Source organism: Homo sapiens, chromosome 17 (assembly GCF_000001405.40).
Source record: "Homo sapiens chromosome 17, GRCh38.p14 Primary Assembly".
NCBI lineage: Eukaryota > Metazoa > Chordata > Mammalia > Primates > Hominidae > Homo > Homo sapiens.
This window is the reverse complement of record NC_000017.11, coordinates 17173736-17194309: the sequence shown is the minus strand read 5'-3', so window position 1 is coordinate 17194309 and position 20574 is coordinate 17173736. Positions and strand designations below refer to the sequence as shown.

The 20574-nt window shown below is 50.2% G+C and overlaps 1 protein-coding gene and 1 pseudogene across 12 annotated transcripts in view, besides 7 other annotated features; both read right to left on the bottom strand.

Moving 5' to 3' along the window:
- Nucleotides 1586-1675: a silencer, noted in NCBI's record as "silent region_8234". NCBI's record gives its function as "represses an Ori minimal core promoter by ATAC-STARR-seq in GM12878 lymphoblastoid cells {active_cell/tissue: GM12878}" and the evidence as "EXISTENCE:reporter gene assay evidence [ECO:0000049][PMID:35858748]".
- MPRIP (myosin phosphatase Rho interacting protein) overlaps nt 1667-20574 on the bottom strand; it is a 150187-nt gene continuing 131279 nt past the window's right edge. For 7 of the 12 annotated variants that reach the window (NM_001364716.4, XM_011523766.3, XM_011523763.3 and 4 more), the window contains 6 exons: nt 20235-20394; nt 18898-19017; nt 17798-17884; nt 16898-17060; nt 14222-14307; nt 1667-9487 (listed from right to left, as the gene is read on the bottom strand). In NM_001364716.4, the coding sequence (NP_001351645.2) occupies nt 9416-9487; nt 14222-14307; nt 16898-17060; nt 17798-17884; nt 18898-19017; nt 20235-20394 (688 nt within the window). In that variant the 3' untranslated portion in view covers nt 1667-9415. Of the gene's footprint in view, nt 9488-13640; nt 13704-14221; nt 14308-16897; nt 17061-17797; nt 17885-18897; nt 19018-20234; nt 20395-20574 lie in introns of all 12 variants that reach the window. The other 5 variants (XM_011523764.3, XM_047435685.1, XM_047435683.1 and 2 more) reach the window with 2 other exon arrangements.
- Nucleotides 1846-2511: an enhancer, noted in NCBI's record as "NANOG-H3K27ac-H3K4me1 hESC enhancer chr17:17095113-17095778 (GRCh37/hg19 assembly coordinates)". NCBI's record gives its function as "activates a minimal SCP1, AML or CMV promoter by ChIP-STARR-seq in naive H9 embryonic stem cells {active_cell/tissue: H9 hESC(naive)}" and the evidence as "EXISTENCE:reporter gene assay evidence [ECO:0000049][PMID:30033119]".
- Nucleotides 2512-3179: an enhancer, noted in NCBI's record as "H3K27ac-H3K4me1 hESC enhancer chr17:17094445-17095112 (GRCh37/hg19 assembly coordinates)". NCBI's record gives its function as "activates a minimal SCP1, AML or CMV promoter by ChIP-STARR-seq in naive H9 embryonic stem cells {active_cell/tissue: H9 hESC(naive)}" and the evidence as "EXISTENCE:reporter gene assay evidence [ECO:0000049][PMID:30033119]".
- Nucleotides 7922-7991: an enhancer, noted in NCBI's record as "active region_11792". NCBI's record gives its function as "activates an Ori minimal core promoter by ATAC-STARR-seq in GM12878 lymphoblastoid cells {active_cell/tissue: GM12878}" and the evidence as "EXISTENCE:reporter gene assay evidence [ECO:0000049][PMID:35858748]".
- Nucleotides 8022-8221: an enhancer, noted in NCBI's record as "active region_11791". NCBI's record gives its function as "activates an Ori minimal core promoter by ATAC-STARR-seq in GM12878 lymphoblastoid cells {active_cell/tissue: GM12878}" and the evidence as "EXISTENCE:reporter gene assay evidence [ECO:0000049][PMID:35858748]".
- Nucleotides 9009-9509: an enhancer, noted in NCBI's record as "H3K4me1 hESC enhancer chr17:17088115-17088615 (GRCh37/hg19 assembly coordinates)". NCBI's record gives its function as "activates a minimal SCP1, AML or CMV promoter by ChIP-STARR-seq in naive H9 embryonic stem cells {active_cell/tissue: H9 hESC(naive)}" and the evidence as "EXISTENCE:reporter gene assay evidence [ECO:0000049][PMID:30033119]".
- On the bottom strand, nt 15561-15896 carry RN7SL775P (RNA, 7SL, cytoplasmic 775, pseudogene; annotated as a pseudogene).
- Nucleotides 18341-18390: an enhancer, noted in NCBI's record as "active region_11790". NCBI's record gives its function as "activates an Ori minimal core promoter by ATAC-STARR-seq in GM12878 lymphoblastoid cells {active_cell/tissue: GM12878}" and the evidence as "EXISTENCE:reporter gene assay evidence [ECO:0000049][PMID:35858748]".

Sequence of the window (20574 nt, the reverse complement as noted above, 5' to 3'; positions counted from 1 at the left end):
AGCTGGGATTACAGGTAGGCGCACACCACCATGCCTGGCTAATTTTTGTATTTTTAGTAGAGACAGGGTTTCCCCATGTTGGCCAGGCTGGTCTTGAACTCCTGTCTTGAAGTGATCCACCTGCCTCAGCCTCCCAAAGTGCTGGGATTACAGGCATGAGCCACTGCGCCCAACCTAAAAATCCCAGTTGTTTGTTATTTAAAATTTATTTAGTGGGTCACAATCAGAATTTTTAAAAGTGAACGAAATCATCAAAGTATATATAGTAAGGGTGCATTATTTTGTTAAATTTCAGGTTGTTGGCGTGTGTGTATATTGGGTCATGATGTAAAATGCAGTTTCTTTTTTAAGCAAAAGGTAAAATTTTATTGTAAATAAATCTATTAATAAGAGGGACAGGGATGGGGAATTACAAGACCTTGATTAATAAAAGCATCACCACCATTAGCACTTCTCGTTGTCCCTTTAGCCCCTGAAGGCTTCTTTAACTGGGGCAGTGTACCTTAATTAGATTCTGCATGTAAAGTATTTCTTACAATGGCTTGTGTGTGAACAGGTAAAATCCAAATTTTTATGTGAACTACCGTAATTCTAAAATGCTGAAAACTGGCCAGGCACAGTGGTTCACACCTGTAATCCCAGCACTTTGGGAGGCCAAGGCAGGTGATCACCTGAGGTCAGGAGTTCGAGACCAGCCTGGGCAACATGGTGAAACCCCATCTCTACTAAACACACACACACACACACACACACACAAGCCAGGTGTGGTGGTGCATGCCTGTAATCCCAGCTACTTGGGAGGCTGAGGCGCGAGAATCGCTTGAACTTGGGAGACGGAGGTTGTAGTGAGCTGAGATCGCGCTACTGCACTCCAGCCCGGGCAACAGAGCAAGACTCTGTCTCAAAAAAGAAAAAAAAAAAAAATCCACTGTAATTCAAAAGGAGGTAATCAGGCCCTGGCACTGTGTTCATGCCTGTAATCTCAGCAATTTGGGAGGCAAAGGTGGGAGGACTGCTTGAGTCCAGGAGTTCGACACCAGCCTTGGCCACACAGGGAAACCCCGTCTCTACAAAAAATGCAAAATTAATTGGGTGTGGTGGTGCATGCCTGTAGTCCCAGCTAGTTGGGAGGCTGAGGTGGGAGAATCTCTTGAGCCTAGGAGGCAGAGGCTGCAGTGAACCAAGATCATGCCATTGCACTCTAACCTGGGTGACAGAGTGAGACCCTGCTCCAAAAAAAATAAATAAAATAAAATAAAGGCCGGGCACGGTGGCTCACACCTGTAATCCCAGCACTTTAAGAAGCCAAGGCGGGCGGATCATGAGATGGAGAGCATCCTGGCTAACACGGTGAAACCCCGTCTCTATTAAAAATACAAAAAATTAGTTGGGCGTGGTGGCGTGCCCCTGTAGTCCCAGCTACTTGGGAGGCTGAGGCAGGAGAATCACTTGAACCCCGGGGGCAGAGGTTGCAGTGAGCCGAGATCCTGCCACTGCACTCCAGCCTGGGCAACAGAGTGAGACTGTCTCAAAAAAAAGGAGGTAATGAAACTGAAATCAACCCACTCTAGAGCTGGAGGCTACTGTTCAGTTTGCCTTTTGACCTGCGTGCTTATTTTGCAGATGTCTCTCAACTAAACAAAATCTCATTACACAGCATGCAAAGGGTGATGCAAAAATAGTTTATTATGATATAGTTTATGTAAAGTTAGGTAATATTTACAAAATAAAAATGATCAGCTACATCCAGGGAATCTAGCATGTCACACAAAGGAATAAATATTCTGACAAAGTAACACTTCAATTGTAGTGAATCGTTGATCACAAACTAACTTTGTAAAAAAAAAAAAAGCCTCAAGACGCCCCTCCCCCCCCCCCCCCCAAAAAAAAAGCAGCAGCTCAGCTGGTCAGGCTTTCTTGAGACACTGGCCTGACAGTGGATGGCCCACCCTACCCCGGGGCTCTACTTCTTAGACCCGAGCGCTGTGCTGGAACCTAGGGAGGCGGTACTCATTCAGCCCTTTCTTCTGCACACAGCTTTTAGTCTGTTTGTTAAGCGTTACCACTTAGCATTAGAACAGAAATGAAACACCAGTTGGAATTATACAAGCTGCTTCTTTTCATCATGTGACAGAACGTTTGTGAGAACTGCTGGAATCACAAGCTGCGGCAGAGGTGACTGAAGCATTTCCACTCCGTTCACATATAGCGCCCCAGCTTGGCACAGTAGGTTTTGCCTTTGATAACGAATTTTGACACTGACCCTGACAGAAGGGCACAGCTGTGAGAAAAATCATTAAGAATTGTAATTGTTGAGGAGCCACTTGGATGCTTTCTACCTTTTATAAATTGTACCCTAGGAAAACCACATGAAGTAATTCTTATACTTAACTGGTTTTGAATCCTAACAGTATGTCAGTAGATACGTTGTTAATACTAAAGGTAAATCCTAAAATCCTTTAAAATCCATTTTAATTGAAGCTTGTGATATAAATGTAACACAGTAGTGAACTGAGTGTTCTTCACAATCTATTCCTAGCTGTCTATAAAACTAAGGATGTGACACCACTAACTTCTCAAGGGCAGTGGGGGGCAGGGAGTGATGGGCGTGACCGTGAGGCTGCCAGCGCTGTGTGTGTGGCTGCGCCTCCGAAACACCCTTTCCTCAGGTGGCCGAGCTGCGCCTGGGGAAGGCCCCCACTGAGGCTGTGCCCGAGGAACATGCCGTGTCCACCCCTTGGGACTTGGACGTCCTCTCAGGCCATCCTACATTACTGGAGTCTCCAATTCTTAAGTATTCTGTGACTCAGTGTTTCCTTACCAATCTGACAAAAATAGGTGCTGTAAAAAACAGCTGCATCTAAGTTCTGCAGCCTCCACGGAATTCCAGGATATGACCAAAGGGCTGGGGAATCCAAACAGCTCCAGTGCTCCACAGAGCCCTGCCCAGTGAGTGGTCTTGAAGGTTCTCAGAAACTGCACATTTAGACCCTGATCCCAGAACTGTGCCTTCAACCAAGTCTCCCTAGGATAGCGTTAAATTACTGTGCAGAAGTCTGGTCAAGATGGCACCATCATTTTCTTAATTTTCCTGATTTTCCTTAAGGACTCTGGCTCTACCAAGAAGAGGCAATAGAGAATTCTTTCAATGAAACAATGTATGGATACAGGGCTATCGTTATTTTGGATATTGTACACTTTAAAACCATCTGTTAGATGACCAAACGTTTTACAAAGATGCAGCAGTCATTAAAAACATTTCCTTATAATGCTGGGCGGGCTTCAACGGTGCAGTCAACCCTGTTCTCCCCATCTTAAAAAGGGGTGTCTAAGATTTTTTTAAAAACCCATACAAACTCTGTCACAAAAATCCCTGCAGTAACTTCTCAGTAATATTTACATTGCTTGCTCTAAATAATATACAGGTTATTTTGAAGAAAATAAACACAGCTGCTTTTAAATACAGAGAAATTGCAAGCTACACCAAGCATGCAGTAGCTTAAGTATTCACAAAGTACTGCATCCGAACACCTAAGGACTCGGACCCAAGACGTGTTCAGACAGAAACTTGCCCCATCTCTAGGGATGATCTAGTGTTGAGCTACTGACTCCCCTACCCTGCCAAGAGCCTTTTCTTTTGTTGAAGGATTTCAGAGAAGGGAGATGTCTTCCCTTTACAGAGAAGCAAGAATACTTGAAGCTCACAGTTCTGAAAAGGGCAAAAGAATGAACAGGGTCTTGTCCCTGGCAGACAAAATTTGAGATAACTGATAATGTTCCTTTCCATGCTGGGTTTATGCCAGGCTTTCCTTTTAAAGAGCCTACAGCACGGTATTACTAGCCTTCAGCTCAGGCTGGTTCTTAACTGCCCATCAGCTGTGGACACATGCCCTTGCTGAAAGCTGTTTGGCCCAAATGTGTAAACACAAGAACTGTACAAAGGTAAAACGAAGAGCCCCCTCTAAGGGGTGGCTGCAGAACAACCTGCCGTAGCTGCTGTGCAAGGAAGAACGGCCATCTCAGAACGTTCTGTTGCTTGGCATTGAGAACAGTGGTGGCCTTCACCTTTCGATGTGAAGATGACCGTTCACTGGATGAAAAATCTACTGAGTTTACATCTTTAAAGTGGGTGGTGGCATGGAGAAGCCAGGGGAAGGAAGAAGTGTGCTTGTATATGGCACCTCCAAGCCTGAAGTCCGTGGAAAACCCACGTTCAGCTGCTATTACCTACTGGAGACGCTCGCGCTGAGCGGGCTAGGAACCTCTCTAGAGAAGAATGCTGGAGGGCAGGAAAGCCCAGGAAGGTGAAAGGTGCGAAAACAGTGGGTAGATACCTTAATTCTAAGGAACTTTTTAATAAGCAAGTTCCCAGCAGCTTTCTTCCCAAGTCCTTTTAGAAAGTGGGCTCTTTTGCCAGCACTGAGAACCTTCGCTCACTTCAGCTGAAAGGAGAAAACACAGGGCTGATCCCAGCTTGCAGGGAAGGGGAAACGAAACGTTGTCTCTGGCCTGTGTCACCTCTTAGTGCTCCAACAGGGACCTTAGGGCAAGTTACAACTTGTTTAGAAAGCAAATTCCTTGTACAACAGACCTATGGCTCCCCTAGCCAGGACTTTTATCTCATGCCCTAAAACGAATGAAGTTCCCAGGAAAGTGAAGCTTCTCATCAACATGACAAATTTTCTTTAAAATTTCAACATCAAATTCCTTTGAAGTATAATATCATACATTTCCATTCTTTATAGAACTTTGACAATACTTAATTTCTTTCTCCCTTAGTGACAAAGGGGTCACAGTTTTTTTTTTTTACCGTATCTTATAGGCCAGGCGTGGTGGCTCACGCCTGTAATCCCAGCACTTTGGGAGGCCGAGACAGGCGGATCACGAGGTCAGGAAATCGAGACCATCCTGACCAACATGGTGAAACCCCGTCTCTACTAAAAATACAAAAAAATTAGCCAGGCGTGGCGGCAGACACCTGTAGTCCCAGCTACTCGGGAGGCTGAGGCAGGAGAATGGCATGAACCTGGGAGGCAGAGGTTGCAGTGAGCCGAGATCATGCCACTACACTCCAGCCTGGACAACAGAGCGAGACTCTGTCTTGAAAACAAAAAACAAAAAACAACCCCCCTCCACCCAAAAAAACCCCCACTATATCTTATAAAGGAAAGTCTTATAAATTCCAAGCTTCTTTAGGACCATGTTAGGCAAACTCTTCTTTTCAGGAAAAGTTAATGTTGATGTGTCACATTCTTTTCTAAGTGCGAACTGTCTTAGAACTTACCCAAGTCAGTGAATGAGTAGCTGGGAGAAAGGGGTATGTGGCCAGCCATTAAAGTCACCCAACATACAAAGGAGCAGGGGCCAGCAGAGCTTCCCCTACACCCCAAATTAGGCTGCAGGTCATATGCAAAACCTAGGAGGCCAAACAGGATTACTTGTTTGTGTAGGGACCTGGCTGCCAACAGGGACCCCACACAGGGTGGCCTTGGCCTCCAGGGCCCTGCAACACCTAGCGGGCTCTGCTGTGTCCCAGCTCCGTGGCACCCGGCAGCCTCCCAGGAGACAGCCAGGCAGGAGTGATGATCAGGATTGTGTTCAGTTTTCAGCATGTTTCCATGTACCCAAAAGTTAAGAGTCCCATCTACCTCTATAGTAAAACAAAATGATAGTAAATACATTCCATAAAAATGTTTTTCAAGCCATCAGTTTTGTTTCCGGCCTTATCTGTCAGTATTCCTTTCAGGCACATTCTGAGATTCACAACTGTGTTCTTTAAACAGCCAAAATTCCCTCTTCTCCAGCATGAGCTGGAGGGTCAAGGGGTGATGGGAGCTGGTGGCTGCTGCAGAAACAGGTTCTTGCTGGGCCTTCCAACTCACTAAGCAGGCTGTGGGGCCTTGCTCTCCATGCTCTTCTGCCTTCATACTTGCTGAATCCGAAGGCAAGATCCTCTCCGATGTTACCTCTTGTTCAATAAACCTGCAAATTCGCGATACTGCCACCTCTAGTCGCCCTGGGATGTCCACTGCATCACCCACTTAGCACAGGCCCATTATGACTCCCTGAAGCACAGGCTTCCAGCTCAGAGGGCAGCGCACTGTCTCCACCCCTGCCCAATGATCCACTCAGACCCGGGAGGCTGTGGACAGCGCGTCCTCTGAAATGCTGGTCTCCACACCTGCCTGGGGCTGGGGCACCATGGGTGGATAAAGAAACTGACCAGCAGAAAGTGACTATTCTGCACGTGCAGGCGTGCACACAAGGTAATTACCCACAAGCCTGCAGAAACTCACACGAGCACAACTGCCTCGCTTTCCCATTCATATGTGTGGCACAGCTTACTGGCTGGTGCTAGCATACTACACATAAATACATTTATAGGAAAATAATTAAAATGCTGAAGTCTATCTATTTGAACTTCTTCCTCATCGGTAAAGCTGGGAAAGCTCACTACTGTGTAGCTGGTGCCAAGGAGCAGCCTGAGACCCCGCCTGCAGCTGTCCCTAAGACTTTCCTCTCCCCATACAGAAACCAGTTCTACTTCTTCACTGTTCTTCTTTCTTCCCTCTGGAATTCAGGGGTTAAATCCCTTCCAGGGTATTTGGATGCCTGCAGGAAGGAAACTGGAGAGAGGGCCCAGCCCTGTGCAGCACAAGGCTCCCTGCTCAGTGTGGCACCAGTTGGGCAGCCGTCAACATCTGTGCCAGTGTTGCCACCTGGGCAAGTCTCTGTTCCTGGGGCATGTCCAGGTGCAACATGAAGAACATCGTCATCCTTTCTCGCCTGGTTCACTCCATCGCAGGATGGAGCCCACCAGCAGGGAACCCAGACTTCCTTGACCCAGATGGTGGCTGTCCCTGTATGAGGGCTCTTCAGAAACGCCAGGACAGGCCCAGGGCATTTTCAGGAGCTCTTAGCAAAGCAGCCTCAGTCCGTTTCCTGGCAATACCCTACACTAAACCAGCCTCTGGGGAGAGACCTGTGGCAGGGAGGAATGCAGACGCCCTGCTGGCCTGTCTCTGACCCCTCACATGCTGCACTCATATTAATTTTCCAGGATTCCTGAAGTCCAGCCTCAAGGGATATGTGACAGAAAAAAGGGAATCAAATGCTCTTTTGTCCTATGGGCAAACTTGCTTTAATTTAAAGCACTGTGAGGGCTGAAGGCAGATGATCCTGTCTCCAAGCATGGACTCTGGCCAGAACCCCCTGGAGGGCAGAAGGCAGGGAGCTGTCTGCAGAAGGGCCAGTGGGGTCCACCCCCAGGGGCAGCAGGGATGGTCACGAAGGAAACCATGCCAGGAAGGGCAGGTGGTGGACCTCAGAGAACGGCACAAAATCGTAGCACCCAGACACGAGGCAAAAACTCCTATCTGGTCAGATCCTGATGCACTCCAGGTCCCTGTCTGTCCTGGAGCATTCGTGTGACCCAGCAGTGTCCTGGAGACAACAATGAGGCTGTGGGGGACAGCGGGGTCCCGAATGTTCCTTCTGTATATTCCCATTGACACAGAAAGGTCATAGTGCATTTCTCAAAGCACTGCCAATCTAAATGGTCAGGGGGGGTCTGATAAGTATATCTATATCTGATATGGGGCCTTGCTTTGTCACCCAGGCTGGAGTGCAGTGACACGATCATGACTGATTGCAGCCTCGACCTCCCGGGCTCAAGCAATCCTACTACCTCAGCCTCCTGAGTAGCTGGGACTACAGCTACGCAACTGTGCCACCTCAGAGAAGTAGATTTTTAAACAAACCCAATTTTCTCTTGCTGTTAACAACACTGAAGACTAGTAGCAGAGGAGTGAAAGTGTGGGTTAAGAGCCTTAAAAACTTGTGGAAAGGGCTCGATGCCAGTGGAGAGCACTTAGTTATTTCAGTGAGAAGAGAGCACCTAAACCTGGGTCTGAAAACACATGAAAACTCCAGGCCTTGCTCCCGGCCCTTCTGCACATTGGGGGCGGGGCCAGAGCTCCACTGATGGCCTTGCTCATGACTTCATCTAGAAACTGAGCAACAGGATTTCTAGATTTCAACGCCCAAAGCATCCACCCACCCACAGAGACCATCACACCAACACAAGCATGAATACAAAGTGAAAGCATGTTCTTGGCATGAAAACCATCTACTCACACCCCACCTTGCTCCTAAAGTAGCAGAACCTGTTCCACCAGCCAGGGGTTTATACTCCCTATCTTAATGGGATTAATGGTTTTCATGGGGCCATAATAGACTCCAATTTAAGAGATTTTCAAGAATTGCCATAGAATGTTTTGTGGTGGTTAAAAAGGTCTTCCTCAAACTGTTAGAAAAAGCAAAATTGTTAGTATAGGTTTACTTTAACCAGGCTCTTTTAAAGATAAATGCTGCAAGATAGGTTTTCAGAGCTCAGATTAATTAAATGAGAGTTAAGATCGGAGTCTCAATAAACACTAATGTGCTGTTCTCATCAGATTCTGACATCCTCTGTACTTTCTTCTTGACTTAACAGGGGTCTCCTCTCAACCTTTTCCAAAGCAATGTGACGGTTTCTTTTCCAAAAGGTAAAAAAAAAACCCAAACCCCCAAACCTTCCCCCATTTTGAATGATTCCTGGGGGGAATTCATTTGTTTTTTGCAATCAGAGTCTGAAACCTGGGCTGCAGGTCAACAATCTCGAGCAGTTATGAAAAGACCAGGGTTACTGGAGACCAAGAAAGGAACGAGCGGAGGAAGGAAGGAAGGAAGGAAGGAGAGGGGCCGGGGATTTTGTGCAAGATTTAATAAAAAACAAACAAAAATAGGAATGGTTGCTTTCAACATTTTCCAGGTTGTGAAAGGTTTGCCACGACTCTCAGGGGTGTGGTTCTAAGCTGCATCAGTGGAACAAATACAAAATGCTGTCCTCCTCCTGGGCTGGAAGGCAGTGCACTTTCTCCTCTTAACAGCCAGACTAGCGGGTGAGGAGTCAGTGCTGTGACCCAGGCCAAGCTGGAGTGTCCGCATAGCTTTTTCTCTGACCAGTGGGGATTCCATCTACCTTGAGGCGTGCTGGCTGGGCCCCGTTTCCACACCAGCACATGGTGAGACAGGGTAGCTTATCAACAGGCTGCTGGGCCTTAATACTGACAGTGAGTGTGGCGGGTCACAGCCAGGAAAGGACTAACACAGATGCCCTCCCAGCCCCCACTGCTGGCCTAATTTTAGAATACCACGGAAAAAAGCTTTGATGAAGACAACAGGAAGTCAACACAGCAGAGAGTGGTGTGGACAACCCAGAAGCCAGCCTCACGCATTCCATGCCCACAGTTAACGATGACAACAACAGCAATAATAATAATAATAATAAAACAAAGGTACAGGTGAAAAGCAGCGCTTGGGGTGTGCTGCTGCAAGCTGGGGAAGGCGCGTGCTCAACTTGGATGGGACACACCTAGTCTTTCTTCAAGTCCCTGGATTCAAAGAGCTTCAACCGTTCTTGCACCGTCAGGCCTTCCTTCAGACTCTGGGTAGAGACAGAGCAGGAGGAGAAAATAAACACACCGTTAGACCCCCTGCACTGGACCGGACCGGACCAGACCGGACCGCTGGTGGAGCCGGCATCAGTCAGAGAGCCGGGTGCAGGTGCGGTTAGTGGGCATGCCAGGAGGAGAGTCCCCGGGAAATGCTGTTATTGGAGGATGTTTTCCCCTTCACAAAATTACTTGGATGAAAAAGGAAAAAAAAATCAGAGAGACAAGACCATGTGTTTAAGCAGCTAAATTCTGAGCTTAGGGCTCTTTAGAGAAGCAGTGATCAAACGAATCCAGCCAGGGAAAACAGTGCAATGAGCAAGGAGACTGCCCATCCCCGTGTCTTGTCTTGTGAATGGATTTGTCCACATCCAGCTCCAGAGATTCTTCACCTGACAGCCTCAGCTGAGGAGGACCAGATGCTCCAGGGAATCCCCAGCAGGATGGGTGTCCCGGGACAGGGCCTCGCTCCTACAGTGCCTCCGCAGCACCTGCTGCCCTCAGACCCATTTCTGGCATTCCCTCATCAGAGGCCTGTGAGTGTTATGGGGATGTGGGAACACGCCAACGTATCTAGTAAGATTTTCAAAACATAAAACCAATACTCTGTTCACGTGGAATCTTGCTAAAGCTTAAATCTGTATGTCCAGAGATGAATGAGATCTTACTAACTAGGGGACAGAGTATTTCCCATCTCATTCTTACAGACTTTCCTCAATGATTTAATTTCTGAATAAGAAAAGGAAGAGCACTTTTCAGAGAATGACTGGAAATGAAGGGCATTCCAGTACTGACTGGAAAGTGCTGTGGCTCTTCACTTATCTCCCTCTTCACGCTAAGTGTCGCCATCACACTCAGCCCTGCTGACTCCCTGTGGCTTACCCTTGCCAGAGCTGGTGCAGGTACAGGCTTTACTGAGAAACTGGAAGCTGAAGGGATGGGCTCTAGCTCAGGGTCTGCCTGATTCTACCAGTTTCAACCAAAAACCTGAGCAACGTGAAACTGCAGGCTGTACCCCATCTACTGGGAAGTCGCCAGCTTAGGCTCAGGCACACTCTGGCACTGTCCTGGAGACTCTGGTGTGATAGACTGGGGACTGAGCATGGGCTGGTCAGCTTGAGGCTCCCTCCAAAGCTCAAGGGAAGGGGGAGCTCCACTGTCCCCCACCCCACCCAGCTCTACCCAGAACAGACCTGCTTGTTTGCTATATTCTGGAGCTATGTGTCTGTGTAAATAAATAAACAATGTGATTTTTAAATACAGGGTTCTGCTGCTAAGCATTTTAAAACTCACTGGTCCAGGCCGGGCGCGGTGGCTCACGCCTGTAATCCCAGCACTTTGGGAGGCCGAGGCGGGCAGATCACGATGTCAGGAGATCGAGACCATCCTGGCTAACACAGTGAAACCCCGTCTCTACTAAAAAATACAAAAAATTAGCTGGGCGTGGTGGCAGGCGCCTGTAGTCCCAGCTACATGGGAGGCTGAGGCAGGAGAATGGCGTGAACCCGGGAGGCGGAGCTTGCAGTGAGCAGAGATCGCGCCACTGCACTCTAGCCTGGGCGACAGAGCGAGACTCCGTCTCAAAACAAACAAACAACCTCACTGGTCCAGGTGAGCCTCACCTCAAGCAGTTGTCACAGCTTGATAATTGTGTGTTTCTGAGAGGGTTTCTTTGGAAGCCTGCCACAGAGAGTGGCTGGGGGAATGGGGGGAAAATCCATCTCCCATTCTGAGCCCAGATGTACCTCAACACCCATGCCTGCTTCCAGGTGCCCTTGGGGGGTCCCTCCCCACAGAGTGCAGGGTTCTCACAGCAGTCAGTCTTGCAGAGGACCTGGGTAGACATCTGGTCACCATTGAAGGGGCTGGGGCCAAGCCAGGCAGGCAGCCCTGAGCCTAAGTGCTACTCAGAGGCAGGCCCCGGAGCATGGCTGGGGGATGTCACTGACATCCCGGTTCCTGCTTGTTGGGGACTTTCTGTCAGGACTGTAGTGAGTTTGATCACTCCTAAGGCCTGGGTTTGCTCCTTGCAGGCACTGCGTCAGAAGCCCCAGATTCCTGCTACAGCAGGCCCAGGGGAGGGGAGCGCCCTGACAGCCACAGCACCCAGCATGCTCGCTACTGGCTCCTGCCCCAGTGACAAAGGGCAGAGCTCAGGCTCAGGTGATGCTGGGCTTGCTACAATTCCAAGGGTGGGAAGTAAGTGAAATCCCCTACGTTATTCCCACACTGGCTGCAGGAGGCTGTTTCTCTCTCTACGTCCTCTGGATTCTCTCCCGGTGGCTGCTCAGCCCAAGGCTCAGCCAGCTCCCTCTGGGGTTCATCTCCCCCTAGGCTGTTGTCTCCACTGAGTGCCTCCTGTAGCCCCACATACTGAGCTGACCACAGACACGGGGGCCCCTTAAGAACCCCGAGGGAAGCATTCTCTGGTCTCAATCCCAGAAAAGGCTGTGCTGCTCCTAAGCAACTTGCTGTCTTTGATTTTGTAGCAGCTGAGACTTGCGGTCCTTTCGAGCGAGGCAGGACAGAAAAACAGAACAGAACAAAAGACACAGATCAGTGCACATCAGATGCCACATCAAAAAACACCACTGAGAAGTACGGTTTCTGGGCAACTGCATTTCCATCTTCTTGAAGGGTTGGGTGGAGTCTTCAGATACAGTTGAGGAAAAGGATGACACCCACCCATGCCTGTGCCTCCTAATGTCTCCTGGGAGCGCGAACACGGCCCCATCCTGCCCTGTTGCACCACAGACATCTAGGAAGTCCTCGACTTTCTGCTGGGGCCAGCAGGACTAGCCCTGCACTCCAAGGATTTTTATTACGGAAACCCAGCCAAGCCAAACATCAACTTAAAAACACATAAGGAGGAGGACCCCATCCTGGGGTTTCTCTCCATCCTTTTCAGTCTGCCCTGGGGCCCAGACAGTCTGCTCCCTCATCCCTGCTCTGGCTGGTTCCCAGCCACTGTGAGAGGCCCCCACCCACTCACTGCACAGAGTTACTGTCAGGGGCCCGTGGGTGTTGCACAGCCTCCCTGGAAGGGTCCTGTCAGTGACAGCCGGTCCCATGTCACTTATAGACATGGTCCAAAAGCCCAAATCACTAATAGTGAACTTCAAACTCCTTCAAGAAAAGCTCAAAGATACTAGCTACAGTTTAGCCTCAAATAAGTAGTAGAATCTTCAGTAAGAAAACCGTGAACCAAAAAAGAACAAGTTTCCTTTTGCTAAACAAAACGTTATGTTTAAAGAAAAATGCCCAAGCTAAGTTTTCAATCAAGCCTAAACCATATTTGGGTATAGGGGACTTAGAACTGTAGAAAAATAAAACCAAACTGACTAGGCTTAAAACCTTCAACTCTTTAACCAAGCCTCAGGATGAAGTCCTTCGGACGGCGGGGTGCTGTGGGTGTGCCTGAGAAAGGGCCAGCATGGGGAGGAAGACGTGGTTCTTGCTTTCCTCCATGTTCTCATTCCGGGATGAACGAGATCAAGCTACTGAGCCGGCAACTACTCATTCTCAGGGTGTCTCCCACCATGGGCCCTCCCCCACCTCCTCTCTGGCATAGGGCCTTCAATGGCACCTAGTGAGAAGCTTTTGTTTTATTAAAAAAAAAAATACTGGTAAATATTTCGCCCCTATTGCTTGTAGTTATCACGCTCTTCTGAACCATCTTCACCAAGCTCTAGTCCTGGTTTATCCATTCCTAGAATGACCACCCTGTTAGCCTTGACAGACAGAGGCCACTAAGTGGCTCACTAGGTGGGCGAGGCCTTTGGTGACGGTAGACTTCACTTGCCAGTGTGGACATCTGTAAATTCCACCTCGTGACAGAGGGCAAGACAAGTGTCCCCTGAGGGGGTGGAGTGAGTTCAGCCGTTGTGCACAGATTATCCAACATGCATGCTGATGGGTGCCTGGCTCTCTGCCTGCCCACCAGGCTAGAGGAGCACCTCACTGCCAGGGTCATCTCTGTTAAGAGGTTAGAGTGCCAATTAACTCCCCAGAGCAGGTTAAAGAAACCTCACTTGGATTTGGTATGTGTTTGTTGGAGCAGGATGAATTGAAATAAAGTAACCATGACACAGGCGTTTGCCATGGGGGTGTGAGCAGTGCATGCAGGCGGTGGGAGAGGCGGTTTACCTCCTGCATGGGCCGGGAAGCGGGTGCATTTCAGGTATCCCACGAGACCTGCTCAATTACGGACTGTCAGAGGAGAGAGCAGACATGAGACACACAACCAATCCCAAACACACGCGGTGCCGCTCCCACCTCCGCCCGCCCTCCTGTGCATGGCTGGCTCTGGACAGCACACTAAAGATGTACTGCTTCCTGGCTGGGGAACAAGAGCAGGCAGCATCATCTCTTGGAGGCGGCACCAGTGTCACAACAGTGATGTGCAAGGAACAACACAGGCACAGCTGACAGCAGGCCGACATGAGCAGGGCTGGGTGAAACCTGGCCTCGAGGCAGGAGCTGATCATGCCAAGCACTGCTCTTCACAGCCCTGGCCTGTCAGTGTCATTGCCAGGAGGTGGCTCCAAGACAGACACAGAGCTCAAAGCCACCAGAACCAGCCCAGCAGGGTGAGCTCGGGCTGGCTCAGTGCTGGGCCCTGGGGCTTTGGCAGCTGTGGCCCATGGGAGCACTCATACTTCAATTTGGGCTACTCTCCCCAGTGTCCCTCAAGCCCCTCCCACCAGGGGGCTGGACCCCAGACTCACCTTGGACCTGATGTTTCTGAGTTGCCGGGTGACACAGGATCTGTCTTTCTTCAAGAAGTCAGGGTTGCTTTTAGATTTCATTATATCTGCGGTATATAATGAAAACAAACAGACCTGTTACCTTTGCTTTCTAAAACCCTCTGGAACCAGACTAAATCCTGAAACATTTCCCAAGCTTCCTACTGCAGCATACTTAGGACAATTCCTTAAACAACTCTAAGGGAATTCAAAGCCAATAACCATAAAACATGCTAGATCTCTTCAGACCACCATAAAACACCAGCACAATGGGAGAATGTGTATGTGGGGCCCCGCCAGGGCTTCCTGCACTGTGACTGTAGCCCACAACAGCATTCCCTTCAAAGGGACTTGGTCCCCTCACTCTGGTGTGGGACCTCAATGCTGAGCAGACCCCTACCCCCATTATCCATGATTCTCTACCTTCCTCCTGGTAGCACAGGGCTGTCTAAAGCAAGATGATAAGGCCAAGGCCTTCTCATTGTCCACCCACCCAGATAGCAGTCCTTTAGGCTTCTTAGAAATGTCTACTTAAGTACCTGTAACACAAACAGATACTGAGTCATATCACACATCCTGTGCATGTGTGGGGTTTTTTGTTTTGCTTTTTTTTTTTTTTTTTGAGATGGAGTCTTGCTCTGTCGCCAGGCTGGAGTGCAGTGGCACAAACTCAGCAGCTCACTGCAACCTCTGCCTCCTGGGTTCAAGCGATTCTCCTGCCTCAGCCTCCCGAGTAGCTGGGACTACAGGTGCGTGCCACCATGTCCAGCTAATTTTTGTATTTTTAGTAGAGACGGGGTTTCACAATGTTGGCCAGACTGGTCTCGAACTCCTGACCTCGTGATCCACCCGCCTCAACCTCCCAAAGTGCTGGGATTACAGGCATGTGCCACCATGTCCAGCTAATTTTTGTATTTTTAGTAGAGACGGGGTTTCACAATGTTGGCCAGACTGGTCTCGAATTCCTGACCTCGTGATCCACCCGCCTCAACCTCCCAAAGTGCTGGGATTACAGGCGGGTGCCACCACGCCCGCCCTCTGTTTCTTTTAAGAGACAGATTCTTGCTGTGTTGCCCAGACTAGAATGCAGTGCCTATTCACAGGTGTGATTCCACCACAGGTCAGCACAGGTTTTTTTTTTCTTTTTTTTTTGAGGCAGGGTCTCATTCTGTCACCCAGGCTGGAGTGCAGCAGTGTAATCATGGCTCACTGCCATTTCCACCTGCTGGGCTTAAGTGATCCTCCCACCTCAGCCTCCCAAGTAGCGCTGGGACTACAGGTGCATGCCAGCAGTCCCAGCTAGTTTTTTTGTATTTTTTGTAGAGACAGGGTTTTGCCATGTTGCCCAGGCTGGTCTTGAACTTTTGAGATCAAGTGATCTGCCCACCTAGCTTCCCAAAGTGCTGGGATTACAGGTGTGAGCCACTGCACCTGGCCAGCACAGGAGTTTTGACCTCTTTCATTTTGACCTGAGCCAGTTCACCCCTCCTTAGGCAACCTGGTGATCCCCTACTCGCAGGAGGTCACCATATTGATGCCAAACTTAGTGTGGACACCTGATCGACTTAGCTTTGTGTGTGACTGCCTAGAACTCCTGGGCTCAAGTGATCCTCCCACCTCAGCCTCCTGGGTAGCCAGGCCTACCACCAAGCCTGACTACTCAAGGTATTTATGGAAAAATGAAGTCTTCCTCCCAGCATCTGTCAGTACATAATCACTATTCCTTGCCTGACAGAAAAAAAGTTGATTTTTTCTTTTTTGATATTAGTGAGCTAGCACATCTTTTCCTGTTTGTGCGTCTCTGTATAAAAAATCAAGATGAAGGTCAAATGAAATTATGTATAATCTGGCCAGGTGCAGTGGCTCACACCTGTAATCTCAGCACTTTGGGAGGCCAAGGTGGCTGGATCGCTTGAGCCCAGGAGTTTGAGATCAGTCTGAGCAACGTGGTGAAACTCTGTCTCTACTAAAAATACAAAAATTAGCCAGGTGTTTTGTGGTGCACTCCTGTAGTCCCAGCTACTGGGGAGGCTAAGGTGGGAGAATCCTTGAGCCTGGGAGGCGGAGGCTGCAGTGAAATCACGCCATTGCATTCCACCCTGGGCAACAGAGCAAGACCCAGTTTCAAAAAAAAAAAAAAAAAAATTACGTATGAGCTGAAAATGCTTGATAAAATGTTAACTCTTTCATCCTTCCTGCCATCTATTTTTTACAGGGTACCTAAATGTTTTTAGCCAAGAAAAAAAGGGCCAGTTCTGTTGTTCATTCCAGAAAGCAGGGAGCTCCCTCCCATTCTCCACTCTATGGCCTTTTACAGATATTATAGTCAAATCCTAGGATCAAGCAGCTAGTGAGAGCTACTTCTGCCCAGTGGTTGAGTTCTTTAGAAAAATAAGACTTGTTATTATTTCGAAAATATTATGCTGATACTATGGGTTCTCCCTAGAGCAATCAGCACAGCATCCACTGCTGCGATGGGGAGAGCAAGGCCTGTCTGGGGCAGCCGTGTGAAGCTGGTGCTCCTGCTCCACTGGGATGCCTGGGTCTACAAGCATCACTGGGACTCTTCTGCTTCAAGTCAAGCACCGGGAAACCTCTACGACCAAACCCCCATAAGCCCCCCAGCAATAACCGAGAGGGCATGACCCGAGGACGCACCATATCCGGACACCGTGGCACTGTCAGGGGACTTCTCCCCCAGTGCTTCCGTTGCAGCCTTGAGCTGCTCCTTCAACCTGCTGATGTCACAGTCAGCCTTAGCCTTCGCGATGCTGAGCTCTGTGTAGATGTCTTTGTACTTGTCACTTGCGTACTTCTTGTCCTTGGGAGTGAAATGACAGAGAATGGTAGTTACATCCAGGAAAGAGGAGCACATACAACATGGCCTGTCTTCCTGGGGACTGAACACGGTAGGGAGGCTTGCTGTGGGCGGAAGAGGAGGCTTGTTCACCTCTGTCTTCTAGAGGCAGACAGTGGACAGAGAGGAAAAACCACGGGGCCTAAGGACACGGGCACAGCCATCAGGACATGGCAGGATAATCTCCAGGCCCGGTGAGTGCAGGAGGCAGTTCCGGGATTGCCCGACCAGCCTGGTGTGGCCCTGAGTGCCCAGGCCCCTCCCTTGTGGGCTTCAGCCTGGAAATCCTCTCTGTGTCCTAGATTCCCTAGGTGACTGAGTGACCACCAATGATTCTGTCATCTCCCCTGACTCCAGGAGTCCCTGGAGGAGGCTGGTGGAAGCCAGGGGGCGGCTCAAATGGAAGTCAAGCCTTGCCTCACTTCACAGGCCTTTTCTCTGGAACATTCCTCCCAAGGCACACAAAAAGCACATACACACTGAAGCTGGAGCCAGGCCAGGCAGGTTGCTCATGTCCACGTTCCCACAGCACCTGCCTGCAGGCTGGTCTTTTAAGAGGGCTTGATTTTGGAAACCTCCTTCCTCACAAGAGTAAAATCTGCTTCAGAAGAGCCCGCGCTGAGCACCAGCCTGAGTTCAGGAGGCGCATGTCACCTAGAGCCTGTTCCCGTACCCGCCCTCCTGTGGTGCGGTGGCCTTACCCGCAGTGCCGTCTGCAGCTCATCCTTGAGGGAGCTAATCTCCTGTTTCAGGTACTGTATTTCCGATTCCTTTACCCGCAATAAGACCTAAAATGACAGAGAGATCAGGGACCAATATTCAGGAGCAAAGAAACCTCCAGAGTCTCCACAGCAGGCTGAAGCGTGCAGAGGGCTCTCCAATCACCAGTGAGCAGGGCAGCCTCGTGGTGCCCAATGCGGGCAAGCATCGTTTAAACACCGCTCACAGCTTCAGCCTCACATACAGAAACAGGAAGAGGAAGGAAATGGCCGTGATTCCTCCCAGTGCCAAGGACTCCCTCCTCAGCCTGGGGTGCTGTGAACTAGACCTGCTTGTCTCTGGGGACCAAGCCCGCGAGAATCAGGAAATGTTACCACTGACACTTGTGTCAGACTCACTCAGCCTCTCTTGCCCGCCCTTTTGGTAAAGCACTCATTTAGTACAAGGCACAGGCACAGCAGACAGCGGCCCAACACCTGGACTCGGGGCAGGAGCTGATCACACCAAGCACTGGTCCCTCCCAGCCTTGGCCTCTCAGTGTCACTGCCAGGAGGCGGCTCCACGACAGAGACAAAGCTCAAAGCCACCAGAACCAGCCCAGCTGGGTGAGCTCTGGCTGGCTGAGTGCTGAAATTTTAGCACATTTTAGGGTGAAATTTTAATTGAATGTGGAGAAATCTAAGTGCCTTCCTAAAAGGACACCCTATACTCCAGAATCCATCATTCTAACATAAAGCGAGCCTCCCTGACCTGAGCTGCAGCAGCCACATGGCTACAGAACGTGTCCTTTTGAGTGGTCAGTGTTTGTGGCATAGCAGAAATGGAGGGGAGTGGGTGGAGTGAGATGGGGTCAGGATCCCCACAGCCCCTCGAGGGCTCCACTCGGCTAGTGGCTCTCATGCCACCTGGCAGCTCACTGCTCCTCGCCGCCTTCGGGTGATTTGGATCTTCCTGGACCCTGTGACTCCTGCTGTCTCAGGTCTGTTCCTCCCACAACCCTGTAAGACAGGGGCCATGCTGCACTCCCCTGGGGTTCCTGGGTGCAGAGCTGAGTCAGGCAGGGCCTGGCTCCTGATGGTACCTCTAGTTCATAGGCATCCTTGCCCTGTGCAAGGGGTGACCCAGTGGCCTCCCCACCGCCGTCCCCAGTCAGCAGCGTCCGCAACCGTGTGATCTCTGCAGCCAGGCGGTTGTTCAGCTCCTGGGGGACAGCAACACAACAGTGACACTCCAGAGCTGCCTGGGGCCAAGTCGCATGACACAACCCGGGAAGGCCATTTCCCTAGGTTCTTTGTGTATCTGTGGAACTGCGTAGGCAGGATCCAATCGATAACCCTTAATTCCTTTCTGTCACAATAACTAGTGTCAATCTGTTCCATGGCTGGTCCCATCTGAGCTCCTGTGGGGTAATCTTTAAGCCACAGCAGCAGTGAGTGGACCCAGTCCTGCCTGAGCAGCCTCATACACAGCCCTGTGCAGCAGCCATGCCCCTTGGGAAGGCCTCAGGTGAGAAAGGGACTATGTTCCCAGCCCCAGGGGGTGTTTGTGCAGGGCAGGGTCATAGAGGGCTGTTTTAATTTGGTGCCCACAGAAAAGCCAATATTGAACGAATCCTGGCTTGAACCTTTCCATTAGCCAGGATTTAAATGCACCCCAATTAACTAAGGAGCAAGCAAATCTTTTTTTTTTTTTTTTTAGACGGAGTCTCGCTCTGTCACCCAGGCTCCGCCTCCCGAGTTCACACCATTCTCCTGCCTCAGCCTTCCCAGTAGATGGGACTATAGGCGCCCACCACCACACCCAGCTAATTTTTTGTATTTTTAGTAGAGATGGGGTTTCACCATGTTAGCCAGGATGGTCTCAATCCCTGACCTTGTGATCCGCCCGTCTTGGCCTCCCAAAGCGCTGGGATTACAGGCGTGAGCCACCGCGCCCGGACAGAGCAAGCAAATCTTAAGAAAAAAAATCTGACAAAAATAAATGTGAGCCGTAAGCCTGACCCTGAGAAGTGTCAGCTCAATCCCTGGGGGACAGGATCCTGGAGGATTGGGATGACCCTGCCAGGCCCTGCCCAGAAACAGTGAGCCAGAGGTTCAGAGGAGCACAGAGAAGACACCAAGACACCCGAGAGTCTCAGAAAGGGTCAAAGCAAGAGTGATGTCATGTGTAAGCAGGTGGTGCACGTGGCAGTACAGCGTTGCTCTAGCTATCCGCGGTGATGTTTCTGACAACACAGATGGCCACGCTGGGTGGCAGGGAGAAGCCCTGGGGCAGGTAACCACTCTGTGGTTCAGGGACCTTCATGCCACTTTGAGGGTGAGGCCTGGCTCCAGCTCCAGTGTGGACTCACCTGACTATGGGTCTACCTGACCTTGAGTGCCCCTGACTAACCTTGGGCTCACCTGGCTGCAGGCTCACCTGGTTGTGGGCATTGAGCTCCTGGTTCTCACGCTGGCACTGCCGCAGGGCCTGCCGCTCGGCCTCCAGCGCCTGGGCCAGATGGGCATTCTCCAGGCACTTCTGCGAGTACTGCTCCGAGAGGACCTCCAGTTCCCGCTGCACCGACTGCAGCTCCTCCCTGGGGAGAGGGCAGCACTCACTCCTCTGCCTGCTTCTGGACAAGGCCTCTCAGAGGCCGGTGTCCCTCCTTGACACCAGACACAGCCAAGCACAGGTCAGGCCCACACAGTCTGTTGTCTTAATCAGCCTGGGTCATACAGAGTAAGGGATCCCTTACAGAGATGGCCTCACGCCCCTC